This window comes from Homo sapiens, chromosome 1, assembly GCF_000001405.40.
Source record: "Homo sapiens chromosome 1, GRCh38.p14 Primary Assembly".
Lineage (NCBI taxonomy): Eukaryota > Metazoa > Chordata > Mammalia > Primates > Hominidae > Homo > Homo sapiens.
In genome coordinates, this window is record NC_000001.11 from 148,235,830 (window position 1) to 148,263,475 (window position 27,646).

General features: G+C 43.0%; 1 long non-coding RNA gene across 1 annotated transcript in view, besides 1 other annotated feature; it reads right to left on the reverse strand.

Moving 5' to 3' along the window:
• LOC101927468 (uncharacterized) overlaps window positions 1–11,242 on the reverse strand; it is a 38,979-nt gene extending 27,737 nt beyond the window's left edge. Inside the window, exon 1 of the long non-coding RNA NR_120331.1 lies at window positions 10,800–11,242. This is a non-coding gene — a long non-coding RNA (uncharacterized LOC101927468). The remainder of the gene's footprint in view (window positions 1–10,799) is intronic.
• Window positions 2,122–2,623: an enhancer, noted in NCBI's record as "NANOG hESC enhancer chr1:147710223-147710724 (GRCh37/hg19 assembly coordinates)". NCBI's record gives its function as "activates a minimal SCP1, AML or CMV promoter by ChIP-STARR-seq in naive H9 embryonic stem cells {active_cell/tissue: H9 hESC(naive)}" and the evidence as "EXISTENCE:reporter gene assay evidence [ECO:0000049][PMID:30033119]".

The window sequence follows — 27,646 nt, forward strand, 5'->3', positions numbered from 1 at the left end:
ACCACTTGTGTGGCTACTCCACACAAAAGGCTGAGCATCCATCAGACATTGATGGGATCTGTATTCACCTCTCAACAGTAGTATTTGTAGAATGTAGAAAAAAATAAAAAAGAAAAACAAGAAAATAGGTGGATTAGACCTATAGTCTCTCTACTTAAAGCACACTTGCTTAATTTTAAATACAAGTAAAATAAGAAATAGTCATTATATTGAAACCCAGTATACAGAAAACAATACCTCGTATATTACACATATTCAAATTTAGCATTTTCTGTTCAATTTTATTTTATTGTATTTTATGTTTTGTTTTATTTTATTTTATTTTTAAGACAGAGTCTCTCTCTGTCACCCAGGCTGGAGTGCAGTGGCGCAGTCTCGGCTCACTGCAACCTCCGTCTCGCTGCTTCAACAATTCTCATGCCTCAGCCTCCTGAGTAGCTGGGATTACAGGTGCATGCCACCACACTTGGCTAATTTTTGTATTTTTTTAGTAGAGGCATGGTTTCACCATGTTGGGAAGGCTGATTTCAAACTCCTGGCCTCAAGTGATCCATCCACCTTGGCTTCCCAAAGATCTGGGATTTAGGCATGAGCCGTCATGCCCAGCTTTCTTTTCAATTTTAAAATAAATCCTGCAGTTTACATTTCCACACACTGATTCCAGAGCCCATGAATGGGTTCAGCACTGCAGTGTAAAAATTCTGCTTTGCTCAATTCTTTTCATTCAGCCAAATCCTCAAAGAGAACTCGTAGTTCTCACTCAACTAGAGAGAATATAATAATAAGTAAAAACTGAAACTCGGCCGGGCATGGTGGCTCATGCCTCTTAATTCCAACACTTTGGGAGGCCAAGGAGGGTGGATCATCTGAGGTCAGGAGTTCGAGACCAGTCTGACCAACATGGCGAAACCCTGTCTCCACTAAAAATACAAAAATTAGCCGGGCGTGATGGCACGTGCCTGTAATCCCAGCTACTTGGGAAGCTGAGGCAGGAGAATCGCTTGAGCCTGGAAGACAGAGGTTACAGTGAGCTGAGATCGCACCACTACACTCCAGCCTGGGTGACAGAGCAAGACTCTATCTAAAAAAAAAAAGAAATAATAATAATAATAATAATAAAACTGAAACTCAGGAAGAGATGATATATGAATACTTTTTTATGCTACCCTTGACGCTGGCATAAAATACTAAAAAGAAATCTTTCCCAACAAACCACTTTGGGAAAAATATAACAGGGAGAGGAGAATGTAATAAAACACAAACTAATCCTTTTCACTTTCTACTTCAGAGTTTTGTCGATCAGATATTGAGAATATTTCTAGAAATGCCTTAAGGTGTAACCAGGTATGGAATCAACTTCAGGGAATTAGGGATAATAAGTTGGGCCATGGTTACAATCACCACCCTTCCTTTGTAATTCCATTTGACTCTTTCCTTTTCCTTTTTTTCTGATCCTTTTTGGAAGAACACATAATATTTCTTTTGTCTTTTCTCATTTTTAATTTTACCGACAAAACAAGTAGCAGTGACATCATATTTCTTTGTAAAAGCTCATTCCTATCCTAGCCAAGGTGACCCAGCAACCTCTAGTGACTGTCAAGAACTCCAGATTGGAGAATTGACTCTCTCTTCTCTCCAACTTATTGAAAGGGACTTCGTGCGTGGGTTCTAGTTTCAGGGTTGTCAATAGCAAGTCACGTGGCTTTAGTTAAGTCAGCCCTGTGGCATCACTGCTCCTCTGTTGTAAAAGGCAGAACTGGATGTGGATGTGGTCTGAGGTCCTTCCTGTATCTCACCTCCAGGGTTCTTCCCATGGCCCTGCACACCCTTCCCTAAGAGACGGGGACATGGAGCTGTAAGGGAGTGGGTTTCTCTGTAAAAGGTCCTTTCCTTCTGCAGCCCTCTGTTTCTGAGCTTTCATGGTTGATGCTGAGAACATCCTCACTGAGGGGTGTGAAAAGCCATCACTCTGCTCCAGACAGAAGGAATCAGGAGGAAAGGGGCTGATGTCACTGGCTGCTGGTTGGGCAGAGCTAGGGTCCCTATATCCTTCACCTCAGCTGACTGGAAGTTCAGGGGCATTTACTTTTCACTTGTGGATGGCACTTGCCTCTTCACTCAGCCTTCGGCTCAGCCTTCAGCTCATCCTCCTAGCAGGAGCTCAGTTTGCCCCTGGGCTATCACCACTTAGCAGTCCCTCTAGACTCAGCCATCAGCAGGACCTGACAAAGATGCCCATTTGATCTTTCCTTCTCTGTCTCCTACAGATACTAAATGCTGCTGGAACAATGAAAAGAAAGAAAGGATATCACAAAAAGCATTTTCGTTTGATGAAAAAAACTAAAAGAGCAAAGCAATTGAAAGCTCAACACAACACAGGAGGGATCCATGGCTGAGGATTGTATTTCAGAACCACTGACTGCTCTTGACAATTGTTAACCCACAATTTTGGTTAGAGAAGCCACAGTCCTTCAGCCTCCACTTGATATCAACACTTAGGAAGACCAAAGCCAGATGGACAAACAGCATTGAGAGGCTTTAGCCCTGCTCCTCTCACTTCCATCCTGTAGACAACAGGGAATTTGCCGGTGCAGAATATGAACAATGCCATGTTCTTGCTAAAAATGCTTAGCCTGAGTTTCATAGGAGGTAATCACCAGACAACTGCAGAATGTAGAACACTGAGCAGGACAACTGACCTGTCTCCTTCACACAGTCCATGTCACCATGAATCACACAACAAAAAGGAGAAGAGACATTTTGGGTTCAAAAAAAGTAAAAACATAATGTAGCTACATTTCTTTAGTTATTTTGAACCGAAAGTATCTCCTCATCTTTTTGTTGTTGTCATGGATGGTGGTGACATGGACTTGTTTGTAGAGGACAGGTCAGCTGTCTGGCTCAATGTTCTACATTCTGAAGTTGTCTGAAAATGTCCTCATGATTAAATTCAGCCTAAACGTTTTGCCAGGAACACTGCAGAGTCACTACTGAGAGTTTCCTACCTCAGCCCATCTGCAGGCAGAGAAGGTCCAGTTTGTCCATCACCATTATCGTGATACTAGGACTGTCACTTGGTTAAGGAGGAATCTAGAAGACCTGTCCCTTTTAGAGACACCTTACTTATAATGAAGTATTTGGGAAAGTGGTTTTCAAGAGTATAAATGTCCTGTATTCTAATGATCATCCTCTAAACATTTTATCATTTATTAATCATCCCTGCCTGTGTCTATTATTATATTCATATCTCTACACTGGAAATTTTCTATTTCAGTTTTTACTATATCCTTGTTTTTGCTAGTTTCTGTTGTTGAAAAAAAAATTTCCTGCCTGGGTTTTAATTTTTGTCCACAGTTAACTTTAATCCATACAACTAAAATTTTTTGTCTATCACTTTGGACTGGTGAATTGTTTTTTTACATTCAGTGTTATAATCTTTTATTATGTTGATTGGTTTTGGCAGGTAATGATACGAATTAATAAAAACATTTTTATTTCCGAGTTTATTTTCTAAACACTTCCACATTGTAGGCTATGTTTACCATATGTTGTAGATTGTATTTACTACATTTCTTTGTTCTAGTTATTTGTATTCTCTGATAGTGTGTGTGTTTGTCTGTGTATGCCTTTGGCATTTAGGAAGGGTTGTATAGGTCAAGTTTAATATTGCACTAAAATGTTCTTGATAGTTTTTTCCCCTTTGAACTGGACACACTTCTAATATTTGGTTTATACGTTTTAAATTATAATTTTCTTTTTTCTTTTTCTTTTTTTTTTGAGATGGAGTCTCGCTCTGTGGCCCAGGCTGGAGTGCAGTGGTGTGATCTCGGCTCACTGCAAGCTCCGCCTCCCAGGTTCACGCCATTCTGCCTAAGCCTCCAGAGTAGCTGTGACTACAGGCGCCAGCCACCGCACACGGCTAATTTTTTGTATTTTTAGTAGAGACGGGGTTTCACCATGGTCTGGATCTCCTGACCTCGTGATCTGCCTGCCACGGCCTCCCAAAGTGCTGGATTACAGGCGTGAGCCATCGCCCCTGGCCTAAATTATAATTTTCAACATCAAATATTTCCATATGACAATTACATGATTTGTTTTCTTTTTCCTATCTTCTTTACCTGCCACTTCTCATAATAGAAGATAGAGATGAAGATGGAGAGGAGAGAGAGAGAGAGAAGAGAGACAGAGAGAGAGAGAGAGATTGAGACTGATTTTAAGGAATTGGCTCATATAATTGTGGAAGCTTGGTGAGACCAAATCTGATGAGGTAGGCGAGTAGGCTGGAGACTCGGGAGAGAGTTGCAGTTCAAGTCTAAAGGGAATCTGCTGGCAGAATTCCTCCTTGTTAGGGGGAGGTCAGGTTTTATACTATTAAGGCCTTCACCTGACTAGATGAGGCCAACTCACACTATGGAGTGTCATCTGCTTTACTCAAAGTCGGCTGATTTCAATGTCTCATTTCATCAAAAAACACTTTCACAGAAACGTCAGAATAATATTTGACCAAATATCTGGGCACCATGGCCCAGCCAAATTTACACATGCAATTAAGCATCCAACATATAATATTGAAAGTGTAGAAAATCAAAGACAAAAGAACATCTTGAGAGAAGCTGGAGAAAGAAAACACCTTACCTTAGAAGAACAAGGATGAGTACTACATTAGACTTCTCTTCATAAACCATGCAAGCAAGAACAGCATGCAGCTGACATATTTAGTATTGGAGGAAAAAGAACTCTGTTAACCTAGAATTCTTTAGAATTACCCTTCAAACGTGAAGGAGAAATAAAAGACTTTCTTGACAAACAAAAATTGAGGGAATTTGTCACCAGTAATTTTGTCTTCCATGAAAGGTTAAAAGAAGTTCTTCAGAAAGAAGAAAAAAACCACAAAGTTTAAAGACATATCTACATGAAGGAAGCAAGTTAGAGGAGGAATAAATGAAGTTAAAAATAAAATATTTTATTATGTTTATTCTTAATTCATATAACCGTCTGTCAAAATAAGAAAAACAGCAATAATTGATTGGATGATTATATGTTATTAATACATCAAATGAATGAGAGTAATGTTTTAAAAGGTGGTAAGAAAGGAATTAGGAATTTTGTTTTTAAGGTACCTGCATGACCCATGAAGCATCATAACATTACTTTAAGTTGACTTAGATTATTTGTAAGTATATATGGCAAGCAATAGGGTGAAAACAAAAACACAATTTTTCTTTTAAGAAATGGAATTTGTATTGTAAGAGAGAAGAAAAAAATGGGATCATATAACATGTTCAATTATAGCCAGAGAAGGTAGAAAAAGAGTAAAAGACACAAAAGGAAACAATGAAGAAAGTCAAAAAATAGAAACAGTTACACATATGGTACATATTAATCCAATGATATCAATAGTCACTTTAAATGTGAATGGTCCAAGTACACCAACTAAAAGACAGAGACTGGCAGAATGGAAAATGAGGTCCAATTATATGTCATCTACAACGAACCTACTTTAAATAAGAAGACACAGAGATATTAGAAGTGAAGAGATGGAGAAAGATATATCATACCCATCGTAATCAAAAGAAAATTGGAGTAGCAGCTGGGCACTGTGGCTCACACTTGTAATCCCAGCACTTTGGGAAGCCGAGGCAGGTGGATCACTTGAGGTCAGAAGTTCAAGACCAGCCTGACCAACATGGTGAAACTCCATCTCTTCTAAAAATACAAAATTAGCCGGTCATGGTGGCGCATGCCTTTAATGCCAGCTACTTGGGAGGCTGAGGCAGGAGAATCGCTTGAACCTGGGAGACGGATGTTGCAGTGAGCTGAGATTGCGCCATTGTACTCCAGCCTGGGCAACAAGAGCGAAACTCAGTCAAAACAAAAAACAAAACAAAAACAAAAGCAAACAAACCAACAAAAAAACAAAAAAACTACAGTAGCCACATTAATTTGAGACAGAGCTGACTTCAGAGGGAGGAAAATCATGGGGATAAAGAGAGTCTTTATATAATATAAAGAGGTCACTTCTCCAAGAAGATATGACAATCCTTAAATGATATGCACCTAAAGCATCTAAATATCAGGGGCAAAAGCTGATAGAACTTCAAGGACAAATAGACAGATTCACTATTACAGTGGGAGGCTTCAGGATCAGTAACTGACAGATCAGAAGGCAGGAAATCAATAAAGATGTAGTGAAACTGGACACCACCATCAGTCACCTGGATCCAACCGACTTTTTAGATTACTTCATCCAACAAGAGCAGAATACATATTCTTTTTAGGGTCACATGGAGTGTTCACCAAGATCCACCACATTCTGGCCCATAAAACACACTTCAACATATTTAATGGGATAGAAATCATACCAAATATGCCCTCCATTCAAATTATGGAACTGAAGTAGAAATCAACAACAGATAGCTGCAAAATCCCAAAACTGGAGATCAGACAATACATTTCCAGTAACACATGGGTCAAGAAAAAGTCTCAGGGCAAATTACATATTTTGAGCTAAATGAAAATAAACATACAACTTATAAAAAATTTCTGGGTGCAGGAAAATTGGTGCTTAGAAAGAAATTCATAGTATTCAATGCATATGGTAGCAAAGAAAAAGGATCTACAATCAATAATCTGAACTTACACTTTAGGAAACTCAAAAAACAAGAAAAAATTAAATCCAAAGTAAGTGGAAAGCAAGAGACAATAAAAATTAGAGGAGAAATCAAGGAAATTGAAAACCAGAAATCAATAGAGAAAAATCAACAAAAAGAAAATGTAGTTCTTTAAAATAATCAATAAAACTGATAAACATCCAGCTGGTGAACCAAGAAACAATGAGAGAAGATACAAATTACAAATAACAAAAAGAAAAGAAGGTCCTCACTACTGATCTCATGGATATTAAAAGGATAACAGATGAAGATTATCAACAATTCTCCGCTCACATATTTGATAACTTGATGAATTGGACCAAGTTCTTGAAAGACACAGTCTACCAAAACTCACACAAGGAGAAATATATAACCTAAATAGATCTCTATTTATTAATGAAATTGAATCAATGATTAACAACCTTCCAGAACAAAGCACCAGGTCTAGATGGTTTTACTACCAAACATTTAATGAAGAAATGATACCAATTATCTCTAGAAAATGGAAGCCGAAGGAACACGTCTTATCTCTGGTCTAGGAGGCACTTTACTAGCAAAACCAGACAAATGGTTTTGAACCAGGATATTGAAGTAGCCTGCACTGCTGACCAGCTCCTGAAACTCAGCCCTGGAAAAACTGTAGAAGCAAGAAGGAAACATGGCTTACGGGACCTGTGAAAAATGGTAAATCTCCCTTAGAGACCAAGGCGGTTTTGAACCGGTGTGTGTGGAAGGTTGATGTTCACAGGTAGGAGAGAGAGAACGACATAGAGAAAAGTATTTTCGGTTCTGCTCTTGCTTCTGACTCCCTTGCTATGGGCCAACTGCGGCTCTTACCCCTTCACGAAAGAGATTTGTCAGCGGCTGTTTATTTTTTGAGACGGAGTGTCGCTCTGTGGCCAGGCTGGAGTGCAGTGGTGCGATCTCGGCTCACTGCAACCTCCGCCTCCCGGGTTCCAGCGATTCTCCTTCCTCAGCCTCCCGAGTAGCTGGGACTACAGGCGCGCACCACCACGCCCAGCTAATTTTTTGTATTTTTGGTAGGGATGGGGTTTCACCATGTTGACCAGGATGGTCTGGATCTCCTGACCTTGCGATCCGCCCGCCTCGGCCTCCCAAAGTGCTGGGATTACAGGGGTGATCCACCACGCCCCGCCATCAGCGGATCTTAATCCACCAGTGACGCAGCTGCGATGCGACTCCTGGACACAATATAAGCTTCCCTGAGGAAAAGAGTAGATGAAAACAGGGGAGGACAAACCAGATGATCCCGGGGCTTTCCTTTTCCAGCTTTCCTCCGCAAATCTCCAGAGGTAATGATTGTCATGGCCTCTCCAGCACGATGCTTAAAGAGACGTATTACAAAGAATCCCCTAGATAGAAGATTTGCTTGGTGGAGTATAAAACAGGGGTAATCGAAATGAGTTTTGGGGACGTGCTGCTCTCCACTTGGGGCCCATCCTTCATTTTGCCGATACCACCAAAGACTGGGCCTTCCTCGACAGGAAGATCCGAGGTCCCTCTCTGCAGCTCCCCTCATCTGCGTGCGGGTTCCTTCCCACACGCCTCCCCTGTCCCTGGGCCCCCGTACCCACTGCCCCTTCCCCACTGCGTGTGTCTGTCCGACCCCACAGCTTCTCTCCTTTCTTGAGCCTCACTCCACCGCGATACGTGGTCTGTCCAAGGTCCAGTCAGTGAAATCAGTGTCCAGGTGACTGTGTATTTCAGGGATCCGCCAGAAGAGACAATAAACGTCCCGTCGGTTTTAGGGCCAAATATGCAAACGCAGAGACCAACCAGACACACTAGCTGCTTCAAAGACAGTCTCTGCGAAGTCCTTGCTTAGAGAAATTCCACTCCAGAAGGAACTGGAAAGCTATACAGTAGTTCCCTTTTCCTTCTGTTTATTATTGCGGCTGTGACCTGCCTGAGTATACACAGTTATGGTAAATAAATGTAAAAACCGCATTGTGCGGAAACTGCACGCTGCACCAACCAGGAGTTGAACACGGATCTCGTGCATGGGAGGCAGGAATTCCACCACTAAAACCACTGACGCCTCCTGCTAGCAAAAACTGCGGCCTTTACATGGAAAAAGGTAAGATCGGGAGATGGGAAGAGGAGTCAAGATTTTTACCGTGTTCTCTTTGGAACATGTAATTAACAAAAAGGACACCCAGGGCAAAGGCTCACATTAGAGATTTGCATCAGGCAACACCAGAAAGTTATGGCTTCACATTAAAAGAGCTGATTTGAAAAAGACTTATTCTGAAATAGACTCTGTACAACTGGATAACAAACCTCTGTAAGAAAACACCAGAAATTCACTCAGTTTCTTGTCTCCGGTGCTGTATCCAACGTGAACCTGTGGAAAGTTCTTGCCTTGCTTCTTGATACCTTCTCTTTGCCTTCCCATCGCCTGGGGCCTTCCAAACCCTTCCTCCCAACCTTGACACGAACATCAGTACTTTCCCCAAAAAGGCCTTCAGAACCCAGGGACCCTGGTTTGGAAAGCTGGACTCTTGGGATTGTGCCTGGGATAGTCCCAGAGACCTGGGTAATAATTGAGCTTCTCTCCTCATGTACCTATTTCAAATTCCTGGAAAATGCCAGGGATCAGATCTTGCTTTTAACTTCTTATGCCTTACAGAGACCAAAACAAGAGCGAAGAAACGGACATTTCACTCCAAGATGTCTTCCCTTCACCTCGCCCTCGTCGGCCACCCAAGGAGGCCAGTTCAGGGAAAAACAATTCCATTCGATTCCATTCTATTCTAGTTAGATGCTAGGATATTACTCCTCTAGCTAATGTAAAGCGTTCTTTTGCCATTTCCCTTTGTCTGATATCCATGTTTTCATTCTCATTCTTTTGTTTACAATAAGCCTGGTACAGATTTGCACCACTCTTTTTTGTTGTTGTTGTTTGTTTTCTTTTCTTTTTAAATGTTTTATTTCCAATTTTTACTTTAATTTCAGGGGTACACGTGCAGGATGTGCAGGTTTGTTCCATAGATAAACCTGTGCCATGGTGGTTTGCTGCACAGATCATCCCACCACCCAGGTACTAATCCCAGCATCCATTAGCTCCTCTTTCTGATGCTCTCCCTCTTCCCAGCCCTACCCTCTGGCAGGCTCGAGTGTGTGTTGTCCCCACCCCCACTCTATCTGTCCATGTATTCTCATCATTCAGCTCCCACTTATAAGTGAGAACACAGAGGGTCATGATGATGCCACTCCTCCAAGGATTTCAGGCTTCCCAGACGCCTAGTTTTCAGTCTAGTTCTTCTGTGAGATCTTACACTTGGGGAGCTACACGTTCTCGCGTTTGGGGCTCTTTCAGGTTCTATCTCCATTTTCCCCTCAATTCCTCCCCATTCTGCTACAATAACAAAACAATTCTCACCTCCGGAAGATCCCGCCTCTGCCTCCGCACGAGCCTTTCAGGAGGTCTGAATGTCTGGTCCACCGCTCCCCGGCTTCTTTCCCCGCTTTTGCTTTTCCCTTCCCCCGCTCCCGCCCTCCCGCCTCACGACCCGACCACCGCCCAGCTGGGCCCCCGCGGCTCCACTGCGCAGAAGGTGCACTGGAGGCCCTGCCCGTTGCCCGCCCCGCGGGGTGCCGAGAAGTCAACCTGAATAAACGCCTTGTAAAAAGAACTTCCTAATGGAAAAAATATCTTATGATTTCCATTCTCAACGCTCTTCAGAGGACTAAAAGATAAAGGCCACGATGGATTCATTCAACAAGTCCTAATCCTGCGCCCTGGTGTGTGCCAGACCCTGCTCCCCGCGAGGGGATCCACGAGCGACCCTCACCACTATCCCTGCCCTGGTGGACCCTCCGTGCGGGACACAGCATCCGAAGATGGCAGCGGAAGCTCCTCAGCGCCCCGAAAGCGACTGGGCAGGGGGCACAGGCTCCCTCACTGGGTGAAGGCCGCACAAAGAACCGGAAGAGCCATCCGGGTAGCTCACCCGGCGTTCAGCTTCCCTTGGGCCCCCTGGCTGCTCGGGCCCGGATCGCGGACCGGGGCGTTTCCGGGGATTTCTGAAGCGGACGAGGGGCAGGGCGGGCGAAGGCCATTCGGCTCTCCTTCTGGCTCCAGAATCTCCCAACCCGCAGGTGTGCAGTGTGACCAGCGCGACTCACCGCTCTAATCGCTCCGATTTTCCAAGGCCTTGCTCAGTAGTCCTGCCAGGCGGGCTCTGAGGCTGGAAGGGATTGGGGAGTTCGGTGAGTGCGCCCTGCCTATAGCGCCCAGTGGAATCGCTAGTACCTGTCTCTGTGGCGCAATCGGTCAGAGCGTTCGGCTATTAACCGAACGGTGAGTAGTTCAAGACCACCCAGGGACGCCTGTTCTAGCTTTTAAAGCATTCATGTATTATCATCACTAGAGAATCTCCCCCTATTCTTCCCATAGTCCTAAGTCCGAAAGGTTGGTTCCAGGCCAGCCAGGGATATGCCCATTTCAGGAAGGTTTTTCTCTTCTCAGGATTCTAGTCACAGTTAACAGGGATCCCTATCAAGAGCCACCCCACTCAGAGATCCAATTCTGACAGACCATCTCCTGAAATGTCAGGTTGTCTTGTGCCTGAGTGCAAGAATCAGAGACCAAACAAGTCACTTCTGGTGCGATAAAATCCTCATGCCTGCCCCTTATAGGCTTGGATGGATTATAGACCAGCTTCCATTTTTTTCATTTTTAATAGGAGGCCTAGAGAGGTGTCCTATCCCCAGGATGGGCCTGGATTTAGTGATTGCTCAATCAATAATGCGACCAGTGGAATCATTGATCATCATAATAATCCTCTCCATCATTTTTGAAAACAGCATTTCCCCCCTCAGTTGGTACATGATTTACTTAACCCTTTTCAAAATGTGTTTGAAGAGATTGGCTTCATGATTTTAGGACTACAAAGAATCTTGAAACCATCATTCTTGTACATATATCTTTGACCACTGATATTTCTATAGTGTAGAGAACTAGAGGTGCCACTGCTACATTACAGGCTTTTTAATTTTTATTTTTAGTTTTTATGACAGGGTCTCATTCTGTCTCTCAGGCTGGAGCACAGTGGCCCAACCATGTCTCATGGCAGCCTCGTCTTCCCAGGCTCAAGTGATCCTCCCATCTCTCAGCCTTCCCAGTAGCTGGGATTAGAGGCGCGGGCCATGGTGCCCTGCTAAATTTTGTATGTTCTGTAGAGAAGGGGTTTCAACATGTTGCGCAGGCTGGTCTCCAAACTCCTGGGCTCAAGCAGCTCCGAGGCCTCCCAAAGTGCCAAGATTTACAGGCATGAGCCACTGCAATGGACCTTACATAATGCCTCTAACTTCAGCACATTTAGCACATTTATCCTCTGCACGAGCGATACCAAATCATATTCCAATTTATTTCTCAACTCTCATACTGCCCCTTTCTTCATTTACTTGCTGGCACAACAAACTGTCTGCCACCCTACCCACCCCCCCACCCCCACTTTATTTTAGACTAGGTCTCACTCTGTCATCCAGGATGGAGTACAGTGGCTTGATCTCAGCTCACTACAACCTCCACCCCCTGGGCTCTAGTGATCCTCCCACCTCAGCCTCCAGAGTAGCTGGATCTATAGGCATGCACCACCGCATTCACCATTTTTTTTTTTAAGAGATAGGGTCTTGCTATGTCGCCGAGGTTGGTCTCCAACCCCTGGGCTCAGGAGATCCATCTGCCTCGGCCTCCCAAAGTGCTGGGATTTCAGGCATGAGCCACCGTGTTTGCCATGTGCCCATGATATTCTAATAAGGGGACAGGTTCCCTCCCGGCTTAACTAAGGGGACAATACAACAGAAGGACATGGTGGACATTACACACAGATATTCTGTTGCATAGGATGGACAGCTAAACTTCTAAGGCATTTTATGTTTATTTTATTTTATTTTATTTTTCGCGACAAGGTCTTCCTCTGTTGTCCAGGCTGCAGTGCAGTGGCATGATCATAGTTCACTGTAGCCTCAAAATCCTGGGCTCAAGTGATCCTCCTGCCTCAGCCTTCCAAGTAGCTGCAACTATGGGTATGCACCATCATAGGTGGCTATTAAAAAATGATAATAATTCTGTAGAGATGTGATTTCACTATCTTGCCCAGGCTGGTCTCCAACTCCTGAGCTCAAGTGATCCTCCTACCTCAGCCTCCCAAAGTTTTGTGCTGAGATTACCGGCATGAGCCACCATGGTCAGCCCTGTTTCTTTTTAAAATTTATTTATTTTGGGACAGGGCCTCACTCTGTCACCCAGGCTGGAGTGTAGTGGCATGATGACGGCTCACTGCAGCCTCAACCTCCCTGGGCTCAGGTGATCCTCCCACCTCAGCCTCCTGAGTAGCTGGGACTAGCAGCATACACTATCATGCCTGGCTAATTTTTGTATTTTTTTGTAGAGATGGAGTTTCATCACATTGACCAGGCTGCTCTCCAGCTGAGCTCAAGCAATGCACCTGCCTTAGCCTCCTAAAGTGCTGGTATTACAGTCGTGAGTCACTGTGCCTGGCTTGTCATTGTTTCCTGTGGTGACCAAGTCACATGGGTCCAGAGAAGACAGATCACAGTGACTTCTTTGATAGCTTTCTGCCAAGTCGCTTATCCAAAGAAAGCAAAATCACAATGGTCCCAGATATTTTTTTCTCCTCCCCTTTCCTCTTTTCCTTGTAAATCTTGATTTTACTTTTATTTGCTGAAAACAATCTAATGCCAGTTCTCCCTTCTATATTAATGGAGAATGAGCATGCAAATAAGTGTCTCTATATGATTCCTTGATAGATTTCTTTCAGAGGCTATGTCTATAAAAATTAGTCCATCTGAGACCCATCATTGGAGCCAACAGAATCCGGCACCTAACAGGCCCCTGGTGCAGACCTGGATCTTTAGAGCTATTGGCTCTTGTTCCCGCAGTTCTTCTGTTTTCATGAGCAGAAACTGAGCAATTTTGCTTTAAAATACTAAGTATGGTCATTGGACAAGTCCTTCCCTTCTCTCTCTCTCTCTCTCTCATGTTTGCATCATTGTTTTCTGCCATCAGTGGCATCAGTGTAGATTTCTGGTAAATGTTATGGAGTGAATTTCTCAGGACACTCTCTGTTGTGTGGTGTTTGGCAAGAATCCATCCGTTTGGTGATACCTGACAGCTAATCTAGTCTGTGAGTCTTTTTTGATTGTTTATTCATTGTCCTGAGGATAATTGTATTTCCTGATATTTGAGACTGCAGCAAATGGGAAGTTGCTCATATCTCATCTTTCCAATGTTTGGTAAAAATTTTATGGGCCCAGTAGCTGTCAATATCTGCAAGAGTGGCATCTCTATTATAAAGATGATCTTACTACTCAATGCCCCTCACCCCCAACCAAATTTCATTCCGTAGGAGCTCTTGGCCGTAACAAATTAATAGACCTAAAGGAGATCTTAGCACAGGAAGAAAACTGAATCTGCAGCATGTAAGGAACAGTTTTCTTTGATTCATATATTCAGGTTTCTAACTAGCTGAAAAATTCAAATATATGCTCTTTAAGGATGAAGTTTAAATCACACTACAGAAAGGAGAAAAAAAGAGTGATATGATCACAAGTAAGCAATGGAATCAGCAATTTGAGCACTTCTCACAACTACACAAATCAAATTTAACAATCTCTAGAACAGTAAGGAAGTTCAGCCCTTAATGAAAATGGATGAAAAGAAATTATTCATTCACTTTTATATGCCTGGAAGGAGAATGTCCTGCCAGACTCAAAAGGGGATCAAAGAATTACTCAGATTTTCAGCAGTGAGGGTTTTCCAAGGATCTAATGATGTTAATTTTTCAGTTTGTTTCCCTCACTCATAAGCATTGTTAATAGACACAATTGCCTCTGTTTTCACCTTAAATGATGTTACATAACCCAATTATTTGCTTTTGAATGCCCCCTGGTTTGGTGGAAGGAATTTTTCTAATGTATAAATATATTTTCTTATGAAACCAATTGGCATACTCTTTCAGTGGAGTGAATAGATAAATTAAGTCTCTAAAACTTTAAAGAAATTACTGCCTGATTATCTGAAGTACAGTAATAATCACATATATAAAATTAAAATAAGAAAATTAAGCAGGGTGTGGCAGCTCACAGCTGTAATCTAGCACTTTAGGCAGCTGAGGAGGGAAGATCGATTGAGGCCAGGGGTTCCATACCAGCCTGAGCAACATAGTGAGACTCCTGTCTCTACAAATGTTTAAAAATTAGCTAATTAGGCCAGGCGCAGTGGCTCATGCCTGTAATCCCAGCACTCTGCGATGCCAAGGTGGGTGGATCACCTGAGGTCAGGGATTCCAAACCAGCCTGACCAACATAGCGAAACCCCATCTCTACTAAAAATACAAAATTAGCTGGGTCTGGTGGCACATGCCTGTAATCCCAGCTACTTGGGAGGCTGAGGCAGGAGAGTCGCTTGAACCTGGGAGGCAGAGGTTGTAGTGAGCCGAAATCGCATCATTGCACTCTAGCCTGGGCAACAAAAACGAAACTCAGGCTCAATAGTAATAATAATAATAATAACAATAATGCAAGGATGTAATAGTCCCTTCCCAAAACTAACCCCTGAGGAGCTAAGGGATGTATGCACACAAGTAACCGTGTTCTATTCAGGTGACCTTACCAAAGAGAAAGAAGTTTCAAAGCCCCCTTGGGCCCTCACTGCTGCCCAGATGTCTGGGAGTGTCAGCCACCTCTTGACCTCAATCCCCTGCTTCTTACCCCTTTCCCTAACATACAAGAAGCCAGAAATTTTTATTAACTTGAGATGTTTCTTTAGGACATTAGTTCACCATCTTCTTGGTTTACTAGCCCTCTGAAATAAAGTCACCTTCCCTGCCCCAACACCTTGTGTCTCCTGACTTCTTGGCTGTCATGCAGCAAGTAGGGTGAGATTTGGACTCAGTTACTTACTAATTCAGTAGGTAATATCTTTAAAAGGAGATAATTCTAGAAACTAGGAGACTGAATTATTCCACTTACAATTTCTTCGTAAATATATTTAGATGTCATCTAATACATGATGCCATCATCCTCTATTAAATGTCAGCTCAATGTATAATTTCAAGATATATAGTTAATTTTAAAATCCATGACCGATATTAATGATTATATGGAGTTAATAATGGAGTTAATAAATAATTTTGATAATAATAATAGAGTTAATAAAAAATAATAAATTTCAATTGCCTTAAAATTAGTTAATAAATAATAATAAATAATTTTGATTGCCTTAAGATTCTCTCTCTATATTACTTTACTTGGAGAATAGTGTTGCTTGTTGAGTTCACAACATATATATGTGTGTATATATATATGTGTGTGTGTATATATATACATATACACACACACACACACACACACACACACATATATATATATATACATTTTTTTTCTGTTTTTGAGACAGAGTCTCACTCTGTCACCAAGGCTGGACTGCAGTGGTGCAATGATAGCTCACTGAAACTTCAGCCTCCAGAGCTCAGATGATCCTCCTGCCTCAGTCTCCCAAGTAGCTGAGACTATAGGTTCCCCCCACCACACCTGGCTAATTTTTGTATTTTTAGTAGAAATGGGGTTTCACCATTTTGGCCAGGCTGATCTCAAACCCCTGACCTCAAGTGATCCGTCCACCTCATCCTTCCAAAGTGCTAGAATTACAGGCATGAGCCACCTCGCCTGGCCCTACGTATTGAATTTTTTTACGTGGCATTAGCTTTTAAATCAAAGCTACCACCAAAAGCCAGCTTTGCAAAGAGAGTATATCACTGAGAACCACGTACAACATGTAACGCTGGTGAGTTTTAATTATACCTCAGTAAACTTGACTTAAAAAAAAAGACATTCCCAGATTTTGGCACAACGGAAGCGTTATAATCTTCTATTCATTTCTGGCAAGAGTATAAATAAGTTCAAAAACTTTGGAAAATTGTTTGCCTGTATATTCTAGTGGTAAAACACACATACATATATGCTATGACCCAGAAATTCAACTTTTCTACCCCATAGACTTGTGCTTTCCAATATGATAGCCACAAACCACGGGTAGCTATTGAACACTTGAAATCTTGCTAGTGTCACATGGGGTAATGATAATACCTTAAATATATTTAGTTGAATATATATTATAAAAAATAATTTCACCTCTTTCTTTTTACTTTTTAAAACATGTCTACTAATACATTTAAAAGTACGTATATGCCTGGCATTATATTTCTATTGGAATTTCTATTTCTAGAGAAACGTGAATATGGTTTACCAAAGACATGTAAAACAAATACATATTTATTCAAAATATTCCTAAACTATAAAGAATTCAAATGTCTGAGGAAAGAAAAGAAATTTTATGTGAGGAAAGTGAGTGCTTTCAAATTAACAAGCCCAGAGTTAGGCATTAAAATGAGACAGCAACAACGTCTTATGTCCCTGTTTTGAAGCCGTGTATTCATCTATTAAAACAGCTTGCTATCATCACAAGTGGCTATAAAGCAACCTAAACATGCTGCACTGGACACCATCTCTCACTCCCTGTAGCTGAACAATGTATAGCTAATCATTAATCAATGTTATTTCTGTAAACTTCAGGGAGTTCCTGACAGGCAATTTTGTACCAGCCAACTCCCCGTCTCCCTTTTTGGTCTTTAGAAACCTGCTTGTAACAAAGGGCAAATGGAGCCCACATCCAAGATTGCTTGGATCTGAGTCTTCCAGGCAAGTGTCCTCACATTGGCTCAAACAAACTTTTTAAATCATGTTTGTGCTTAAGCCCCTTCCTTCTAGGTCGACGTTTTTGGCCCAGGGAGCAGAATGCAGAGCGACTCATCTCTGACCATCTGACTGTCCTCTCAAAGGCCTCCAGGGTGGCTACATAGTAGTAAGAATTTGATTGGTGAGATCAGTTTGCAGTCCAGGAAGAGACAGTCTCCGGTGTGTGTCTTTGAAGAGGTGCTTTCTCTTCAGAGAGAGAGAGAGAGAGGGCAGGTTGGTTTTTGTGCCTCACACGGTGTGTATCACACAATGGAGTTATACATATTCAGCAGGTTTGGAGAAACGCCATTTCTGAGGGGTGTTGAGCTCATGTGCAACGGGTAAACATATATGTAACGTGCACCCCATCTTCACATTGGGAAGAGATTTTAGCATTAAAATTAGATGGAAATTGGCTCTTTATGTCAAAAGGTGAACTATAGGACATGAAGTCGGTTTGTGTGCAGTCCCTGTAACATGGCTGAAACTGGCTTGAGGTCTGCAGTTGCTTATCAGGAAAGAATGGAAGGGCACTCCTCTGTCCCATCAGAGGTCTGGTGATCTGGGTTGTAAATCCAGTTGAGAATTGCTGGGAAGATTTTGACAATTTGCCTGCTAGCTCCTATTGTTAAGGAGTTTAGCAAGAGTGTGGTTTTTCTTCTAGCCACAGAAATTTAGGAAGTTGCTATGCCAGTCCAGCCCTGAATCCTTGACCCGTAGGTAACTCTTGTTTTCTTAACCTTAGAGTCTGTCTTAGTCTACAAGGTGACATCTATTTTTGTCTCTCAGACCACATTCCTCCTGGACTAGGTGCCTGGCCAGCTTTGAAATCCTCACGTTCTGACTCAGAGAAACAGATGGGCAGTAAGTGGTGAATCCTCCTGAAATCTGGACCTTCCCACTCTTTGGTTGAAGGCCTGGAGTTTGCTTGAGTTGTCCTTTCCAGCCTTCCCTTTCTACAATGGAGGTTTTCTGTCTTTACCCTCCAGTTAAGAGACTTGAGTTTCAGGGGGAAAAAACTGCCCTTTCCACCTCTGCCTCAGGACAGAAAGTTTGGGTCACAGTCAGGCAAAGGACTGTGTGGAAAGCTTCTGCCTTTTCTGCCTCTGTCCCTCATCAGGAAGGTCTGGGTCAAGATATTGGCAGGTAGGCACCGGTGGTTTTGTTTTCTGTAGCATGCTTTTATGAAAGTTTGAACTTAGGTTTTCACTTGTGACTAATTCTTGTTAGTTTTTTTTTTTTTCCTTGAGATGGAGTTTTGCTCTTGTTGCCCAGGGTGGAGTGCAATGGCGGGATCTCGGCTCACCGCAACCTCCGCCTCCTAGGTTCAAGTGATTCTCCTGCCTCAGCCTCCCAAGTAGCTGGTTTTACAAACGTGCCACCACGCCCAACTAATTTTGTGTTTTTAGTAGATACAGGGTTTCTCCATGTTGTTCAGGCTGGTCTCAAACTCCTGACCTCAGGTGATCTGCCCACCTCGGCCTCCCAAAGGGCTGAGATTACAGGCGTAAGCCAATGTGCCCGGCCCCTGTTAGTTCTTACCTGGAAAATGCACGGAGGTACTTTCTCCAGCCCTGAAGAAAAGAAGTGATCTGCTCCCGATGACCCTTTCAGGGGCTACAAGTGACCAGGGACGCTGCAGAGGTGTCACGGTCACTACTCACCATGTGAAGGCGGCCTCGTAGAGCATTCCCCATCAGAAGAACGTCTTTATGAATCCCCTTTCCTGCTCTTATGGGAGGGTATATGAGCGATGGGTCCCCCAGAGCAGATGCACTCTGTGGCCACCTGGTGGTTAGAAACAGTGGGAGCCACTGAGACAGTGATACACAACTCCGGTGATATCTGTAGGAGTGACTACATAAGCAGGACACTGTGACCCAAAACACATCCCAGATTTTGGTCATCTTTGCAAAGCTCCTGAATTATGGGAAATCAAGCTTCAAAATCTGAGCATACTTTGAAGAAACAACCGCGTTTAGAACCACCAGCTGAGTTTCTGTATAACAGTTATGAAGCATCCTCTTGTAAATATCCAAGAAACCTGACCCACCTAACCAGAAAAACTCATAAGTAGAATGGAGAAAATGGGGATCTTTTGAAATGACTAAAATAATTTATTAGGGCACACAATTGGAAAAATTTGGTTTTAGAATCAGGCAAATTGAATGGGAGACTTACTTCCAATGATACCTAGAAATTTCTAAAAGAACTACTGAGAAAATTGCCTCCATTGAGGATTTAAACTGGGGATATCTGATGCTTTTTCTGAATTGAGAAATATTGAGGAGGCTTTGTCTCTTTCGCCTCCAACTGCTCCTTTTCCTCCTGCCCCTGCACCTGCATAGTCTCCCTTACCTGAGCCCTCCTGTCCTGCCTTGCCTCTTCTTCCATCACCATCACCTGAGGAAAGTCCCCAGGGCTCTGGCCCCTTCCCTGAAAGTTCTGTTCTGGCAGCCCCTTTCAAGGTAAAACCCACAGGAAGAGGGGAGCCTGCTATTGTGTATACTGCTTCACCATAATGTGAATTAAGAATATTGTAAAAGACTTCCCTTTTCTAAATTGAAATACATTTTCCTCTTCTCTTTCTAAAGCAGGCTCTGCTTTAGATTTAGAAGTAGATTGGAGGAGAATTTAGCAATGCACTTAAAAGGCCAAATAAATCTGTCATTGATATTTTAAATGGTTGAAAATAATTTATTTATTTATTTATTGAAACAGGTTCTCACTCTGTCACCCACGCTGGAGTGCAGTGGCTCCATCATGGCCCACCACAGCCTCAAACTTCTGGGCTCTAGCAATCCCCCCACCTCAGCCTCCGAGTAGATGAGGCCACAGGTGCATGCCACCACACCTGGCTAATTCTTCAACTTTTTATAGAGAGGAGGTCTCACTTTGGTTTCCAGGCTGGTCTTGAACTCCTGGGCTCAGTCAATCCTCCCGCGTCAGCCTAATATTTACACTGACCACGGAGATGCATTTGGAGAAGGTGGTGATTTTGGAATGCTTTAGAAGCAACCTAGGTTTCTTATTTCACCAGGTCAACCCATCAAAAATGACCAATAAGTCTCTGAACTCTTAGGAGCAATTTGAAAACCCAAATCTTTGGCCATCATCAAAATTCCTTGTCATTCAAAATTAGGTACTCTGGAGAGCAAGGACAACCATTTTGCTGATGCTGCAGCTAAGAATGCAGCTCTGAAGGTGACAAGAGACACAGAACTTCTCTAAATGACCTTGCTGACTTATGACCCATTGAAAACGTTATTAGAAGAAGCACACGTGGGATCTCCCAAGCAGAAGATAGATCTCTGGCAAGATAAAGGGAACAAGTTTTTCTTCAGAAACAGGCGTATGGTATGGGCCCAATGATACACTGATCTACCCCTTAGGCTTCAATTACCCTTTTTAAAGTAGTTCATAAGCTGACTCATTGGAATTCAGACTAAATGATAGCATGGGGAAAGCAGTGCTATTGAAAACCATCGCCTATGATTGCACAAGAGGTTTATTCTTGTAGTACTATCTGTTCTGTCCCAAACATAATCCTGGAAAACCCCTTCATGGGTCACAGGGACATTTTAACTTTAGGACCCTTTGAGACATGGCAGTTAGACTTTATCCAGCTGTCTCCATCTCAGGGTCACAGATACTTTCTGGTGCTAATTTATATGTGCTCTCACTGGGGTGAAGCATTTCCATACTGATGAGCCACAGCCCAAGTAGCAGGTAGACTGTGATTAGAAAAAAATCATTCCTCATGGGGAATGCCATCTGATCTACATAGCAACCGAGGAACACACTTTATCAGGCAGGTAGCTGGATCCATTTGTAATGTTTAGCCTATGTCCCAACATTCCCATTGTGCCTGTCACCCCTAATCCTCTGGACTAGTGCAACTCAATAATGATACAATAAAAACTCAATTGACAAAGATAACAGAAGTTTTTAACCTTCCCTGGCCAAAGATCCCCCACTGTTTCTGGAAAACTTCCACTCCCTCCCTTTGAAATAATAACAGGAAGACCCATGCAGTGGTTAGATGAAGGGGCTTATGAACCTGCACTTCTTAAAGGTAACATTCTCCATTATTGCTAAGTTCTCACAAAACTTCTTACCAAGAGCTCCAAATTAATAAAATATTCCTTTCATAATGAGCTGCTGAGGGATGAAAATATAAAAAATTATGCCTATAAACTGGAGACAACATCAAATACTGGAAACAACATCAAATAAAATATTCCCTCCAAGTCCACTGGAGAGCACCACGTAGGTATTATTAATATTATTATTATTATTTTTTGAGATGGGGTCTCACTCTGTTGCCCAGGCCAGAATGCAGTGGTGTGATTATAACTCACTGTAGCCTTTACCTCCTGGGATCAAGCCATCTTCCTCCCTCAGTCTCCCAACTAGCTGGGACCAGAGGTGCGGGCCACTGCACCTGGCTCACATCAGGTATTATTTCCCAATCTCTGTGGCAGTAAACATAAGGGCATTGACACACAGATTCATGTTTCTCATATCTAAAAGGCAACCCTACCACAGTGGACATCTGTCAGTGGAGGTTTTCACTTAAAGGTGACCTGCAATCTTCCTAACCAAGATGGCGAGTAGCTGACATCTGTTATGGTACAATTTCGCCCAACATACCGGCCTGTATAAGCAGTTATTCACAATTCCAGTGCTTACTGCAACTGAAAGAGTTGGTCTCTTTTTCTATTGACTGGAATACATACACTGTTAGGGCTCCTTTAAGTTGTAAATTCCTCCTGATTGCACTGACAATGCAAATCAGGGTCACATCAAGCAAAACCTGTTTATCGAATCTGTCTGACTCATCCTAACCTTCTTGCCCCATGTTTCAGTTTAACCCATCACAATTGTACGTCAAAATAACTGCCTGTAATCCCAGCACTTTAGGAGGCCAAGGCAGGAGGATCACTTGAGCCCAGGAGTTTGAGACTAGCCTGGGCAAAGTGGTGAAACCCTGTCTCTACAAAATATACAAAAATTAGCTGGGCATGGTGGTGCCCACTTTTAGTCCCAGCTACTCAGGAGTATGAGGTGAGAGGATGACTGGAGCCCAGGAGTTCGAGCCTGCAGTGAATTCTGATGACACCACTGCACTCCGGACTGGGCAAAAGAGTGAGACCCTGTCTCAGAAAGTAAATAAATAAGCTGGGCATGGTGGTGGTGTGTCCCTGTAACTCCAGCACTTGGGAAGCTGAGGTAGGATGATTCATTGAGCCCTGAAGGTCAAGAGGTCAAGACTGTACTGGCCTGTGATCTTGTCACAGCACTCCAGTGTGGGCAACAGTGAGACCGTGGCTGAAAAGGAACAAAAATCCGAAACAAAACCAACCAAACAAAAAATGTTGCCTCACTCTGAAATAGCAGTGGTAAACACCATGATGCTATTGGAAAGTTAAGAGAAAAACACTCCCTCCTGCAATCAGGATCCAACCTGCCCTCTTGCTCTAACATGTCTGACCCATAGTTTAAATGCCGAAAGCTGATGTACCCAAATTATACTACACTTACCTGTTGTGCACCAGCATTTATTTTGTCTCTGGAGGAGATCACCATCCATGGCCCTTAAATGTCTGAAGGCATGGAATGATGAAGTGCAATGTCTTTTAGGATATTTGGTCACCGCTATACATATATAGCTCTGAAGAAATCCAACATTGGATGAGTGGGGAGGCCGAGGCGGGTGGATCACCTCTGGTCAGGGGTTCGAGATCAGCCTGGCCAACTTTGTGAAACCCCGTCTCTACTGAAAATACAAAAATTATCTGCATATGGTGGTGTTCACATGTACTCCCAGCTACTCAAGAGGCTGAGGTAGGAGAATCACTTGAACCCAGGAGGCAGATGTTGCAGTGAGCCAAGATCATGCCACTGGGCTTCAGCCTAGGAGACAGAGTGAGACTCCATCTTAAAAAAAAAAAAAACAACAACCAACCAAACAAACAAAAAATTGGATGAGTGTCCTCAAGCTTTTCACTAGGCATGCCCACCACTCTATTTTAGTAATAGATGGAGATCCTGTTGGGGGAAAATTTGCTAATTATCTGCCTGGCCATTAAGAAATAACTCCAAACATTTTCAGGGGAGCATGCTTTTGCTTTGATGGGATGTTGCTTTCCATGGTTAGAAATCCTTCTTTAGCCTTAGGTAACATTGCTGATAAAAACTGGGCATGGTGGCTCTGGCCTATAATCCCAGTGATTCAGAGGCTGAGGTGGAAGGATCACTTAAACCCAGGAGTTCCAGGCTGTAGTGAGCTATGACAGTGACAGTGCACTCCAGCCTGGGCGACAGAGCCACTCTTCCTCTTTGAAAGAAAAATAAAGAGTCCAGGCTTGGGGGCCTATGCTTGTAATCCCAGCACTTTGAGGGGCTCAGGTGGGAGGATTGTTTGAGCGTAGGAATTTGGGACCATCCTGAGCAAGATAGTGAGACCCTGTCTCTAAACAAACAAACAAAACAAACAAACACAAACCAAAATTAGCCAGGCATAGTGGTGCATGTCTGTAGTCCCAGCTACTTGGGAGGCTGAGGTGGGAGGATTGCTTGAGAGAAGGAGGTTGAGGCTGCATTGAGCTGAGACTGCACCACTGAAATCTAGCCTGGGCAACATAGCAAGACCATGTCTTAAAAAAAAAAAAAAGAAAGAAAGAAAGAAAGACAAAAGAAAGAAAGAAATATTGCTGATAAAACTGTAGCCTCTTTCACAGCTCAAAAAAAAGCTATTCATTCACTGGCTAAGGTTGTACTAGATAATTGCATCACTTTAGATGACAAATATTTTCAAAGACACTATTAGCCTTATTTAAAAATGGGTAGAACCTAGGCTCAGTGGCTCACATCTGTAATCCCAGCACTTTGGGCAGTCGAGGTGGGTGGATCACCTGAGGTCAGGAGTTTGAGACAAGTCTGGCCAACATGGTGAAACCCCATCTCTACTAAAAATACAAAATTAGCTGGGTGCAGTGTCATGTGCCTGTAGTCCTAGCAACTTGAGAAGCTGTGGCAGGAGAATTGCTTGAACCCAGGAGGCAGAGGTTGCAGTGAACCAAGATCGTGGCACTGTACTCCAGCCTGGGAGACAGAGAGTCTGTCTCAAAATACAAAAACAAAACAAAACAAAACAAAAACAATGGGTACATACAGCAGCACTTACAAGAGTTCATAGAAGGAATTGTACATTGTCAACTGATAGTGTGGAGAGAGCAGCCCCCTGCCCACCTGGTTGTGATCTCTGCACAACGCTTGCCCACAACCACCTTCTCCACTTAGTACAATGCAGCCCAGAACACCAAGGGGAGAGCCCCAGCAGCAGCAGCCTCCGCAGCCCGCTTTAGATGATAGATTTAGCTGAGCAGGGAGGTGGATGTGTGGTGTTTACAACCTCTGGTTGCATATACATAAATAAATACTTCCCATGAAGTAGAACCTCATCTAGAAAAAATTAGAAGTCATTTGGCTACAAGAAATCATGAAAGAAGAACTGGGATGTGATGTTTTCCCTGATGTTTTTCGTTGGCTCCCTAATGGAATAGGTTCCCTTACTGTTCTGGCATACAGATTCTCTTTGTGATTCTCATTCTTGTGTGAATTATATGTGTACTATTCAAATAATTAATGCTATATATTTACTGCTTTACTTCTGAGAAAACTGATTTTATGGTATCTGAAGACTAGAAATGATTCAACAAGTGATAGCTGCAGACTTAACTAAGGTCTCTCTCTCCTCTTTTTTTTCTTTTCTTCTCTTTTTCTTTTTTTTCTACTCGGTGTCACCCTTTCAATTGGGCTTTTGGGTGCTCTTAAAAATTCCTCAGTGAGGCAGCTCCTTTCCTCCCCTGCCCTCAGCGTGGGAAAGACTATCTGGGAATGAGCCTTCCTGGCAAAGAGGGACACCTTGGCTGAGCTTTTGATCATCAGTGCTTTCAAGAAGAAAGATTTTTTAAAGAATTCTTATCTGAGGAATGTGAGCCACTTCACATGATCAGAGACACATTAAATCAAGACAGCAACCACTTTCTGCTTCCTTCCTTTTGAGCTATGTATTCAACTGTTGAAACTGTTTGCTATCACCCCAGTTAGCTGTAAATTAATCTAATAATGCCACACCAAACACTGTATCCCACACCCTATTACAACGGATAGCCAAGCTCTCATCAACACTATTTCTGAAAACCAATGAGAATTCCTGACAGCCACCTTTCCATCAGCTCATTGTGTGTCCCCCTTTTTGACCTTTAAAAACCTGTTTGTGACAAAGGCCAAAGGGAGCTCAGATCCAAGGTTCTTGGGGTGTGAGTCTTCCCGGCAGCTGCCTTCACTTTGGCTCAAGTAAACTCTAAATTATATTTTGTGCTTCAGGGTCTTTCTTTTAGGTCAACATGTTCAGCAACAGTAGAATAAATAAATAAGTTGGCCTATATTCATACAAAGGAATACGCACAGAAACAAATAACCACATGAATAACATGAAAAATTCATAGATGTAAGACTGAGTGAAAGAAGTCAAACCTATGCCTCTGCTCCTGAGACCGACTTTGCAAAAATTATAACTGGGACAATTATCACAGCAAAAGAGGTTTGACCTAACTGCTTCCATCTTTTTTCCAGCGTCCAAGCTGTCCTTGTTCATTCCTGGGCACAGGCCAAAATAACTTTGAGAGGAACTTAGTTTATGGTTTAGCTGTGAAACAAAGATGATAACAGCTCTTTCCCAAAACAAACCCCCTTCCTGCCTGGGGACTAGACTGCCTTTGCAGGACTAACAAATTAGTCACAAGATTAGAAATGATGGTTTAGAAGTCATGCAGCCTCCAGCTTATAAGATTCTAAACCTCCCCAAATTGTTCCTGGGGATCACATCAGCATTGTAAAACCTAAGATCAGTGCGTGAGGTATTTTGTAGTCCTGCACTCGATGCATCAGCTAGCACCACCCAGATGGATAAACCAGCTCATCTGATCTTGTGGCCCCCACCCAGGAACTGACCCAGCTCAAGAGCATGCTTTAACTCCCTGTAAGTTCATCTCTGACCTGACCAATCAGAACTCCCAACTCACTGGCCCCCAACCACCAAATTATCCTTAAAAACTCTGGTCCTAGAATGCTCAGGAAGACTGATTTGAGTAATAATAAAACTCTGATCTCCCACACAGCTGGCTCTGGGTAAATAACTTTCTTTATTGCAATTCCCCTGTCTTGATAAATTGGTTCTGTCTAGGCAGCAGGCAACGTGAACCCATTGGGCAGTTATATTCCCACAAAACCCACTACACACTTTATGATTTGATTTATATGAAAGCAAAGGACAGGAAAAACTCGCCTGATAGATTTGGAGTCTGTGGAGTATTGTCAGAGTTTGGGGTTGTATTCTACAGATTAAAAGTAATCAGTTGAGCACCTCAAAATTTCCCCCCAATTTTTTTTTCTCCAAATTTGGACCACCTTGTTTCTCTCTTTGCAGAATATAAAGTGCTAACATGAGGTTAAGTGCTAAGGTCTAGAGAAGGTGGAAGAGATGACAAACTCCAGCACCATGCCTGCGTGTCCAGCGTGCTCTGCTGGGACAGCATATTTGTACATTGCTGTATTTGAAAAAACCCTACAAGATTCATGAAATTGGACCACTGTCCTTATAACACTACTAGTGGTAAAACAAGTAAGGATGGCTGGTTTGCAGTCATCTGAGCAGCATCTCTAGTTTCATAGATATGGTTTCTCTCTGATACTGAACGGCTTCCAATTTCAAGTAGAATGCTACATCAGAAGAATAACGATGGGAAGAGAACCGGTTTCTTGTGTAATCCAACATGTTTTAGTCTGCGCATTACAAACCATTATTTGAAGAAGGGTGGACAGGCTCTGGTAGCATGTTAGTCGGCTGAGTGGCGGAAGATGGGGCGGGAAAGTTGACGGAGACGGGAAAGGCGCTGTCGGTGACATCACGGATAGGGCGACTTCTATGTAGATGAGGCAGCGCAGGGGCCGCTGCTTCTCCACCTGCTGCTTCGCCACGAAGGAGTTCCGTGCTGTGGGAGCGAGTCCAGGACAGCTGGTCGGACCTCAGAGTCCCAGCTGTGTGTCAGGGCTAGGAGGGCTCGGGGACGCGCGGGGCAAGTGACCGTGCGTGTAAAGGTTGAGGCGTATGGAGCTGTGGCGGGGCGGAGGTGTGCAAATCC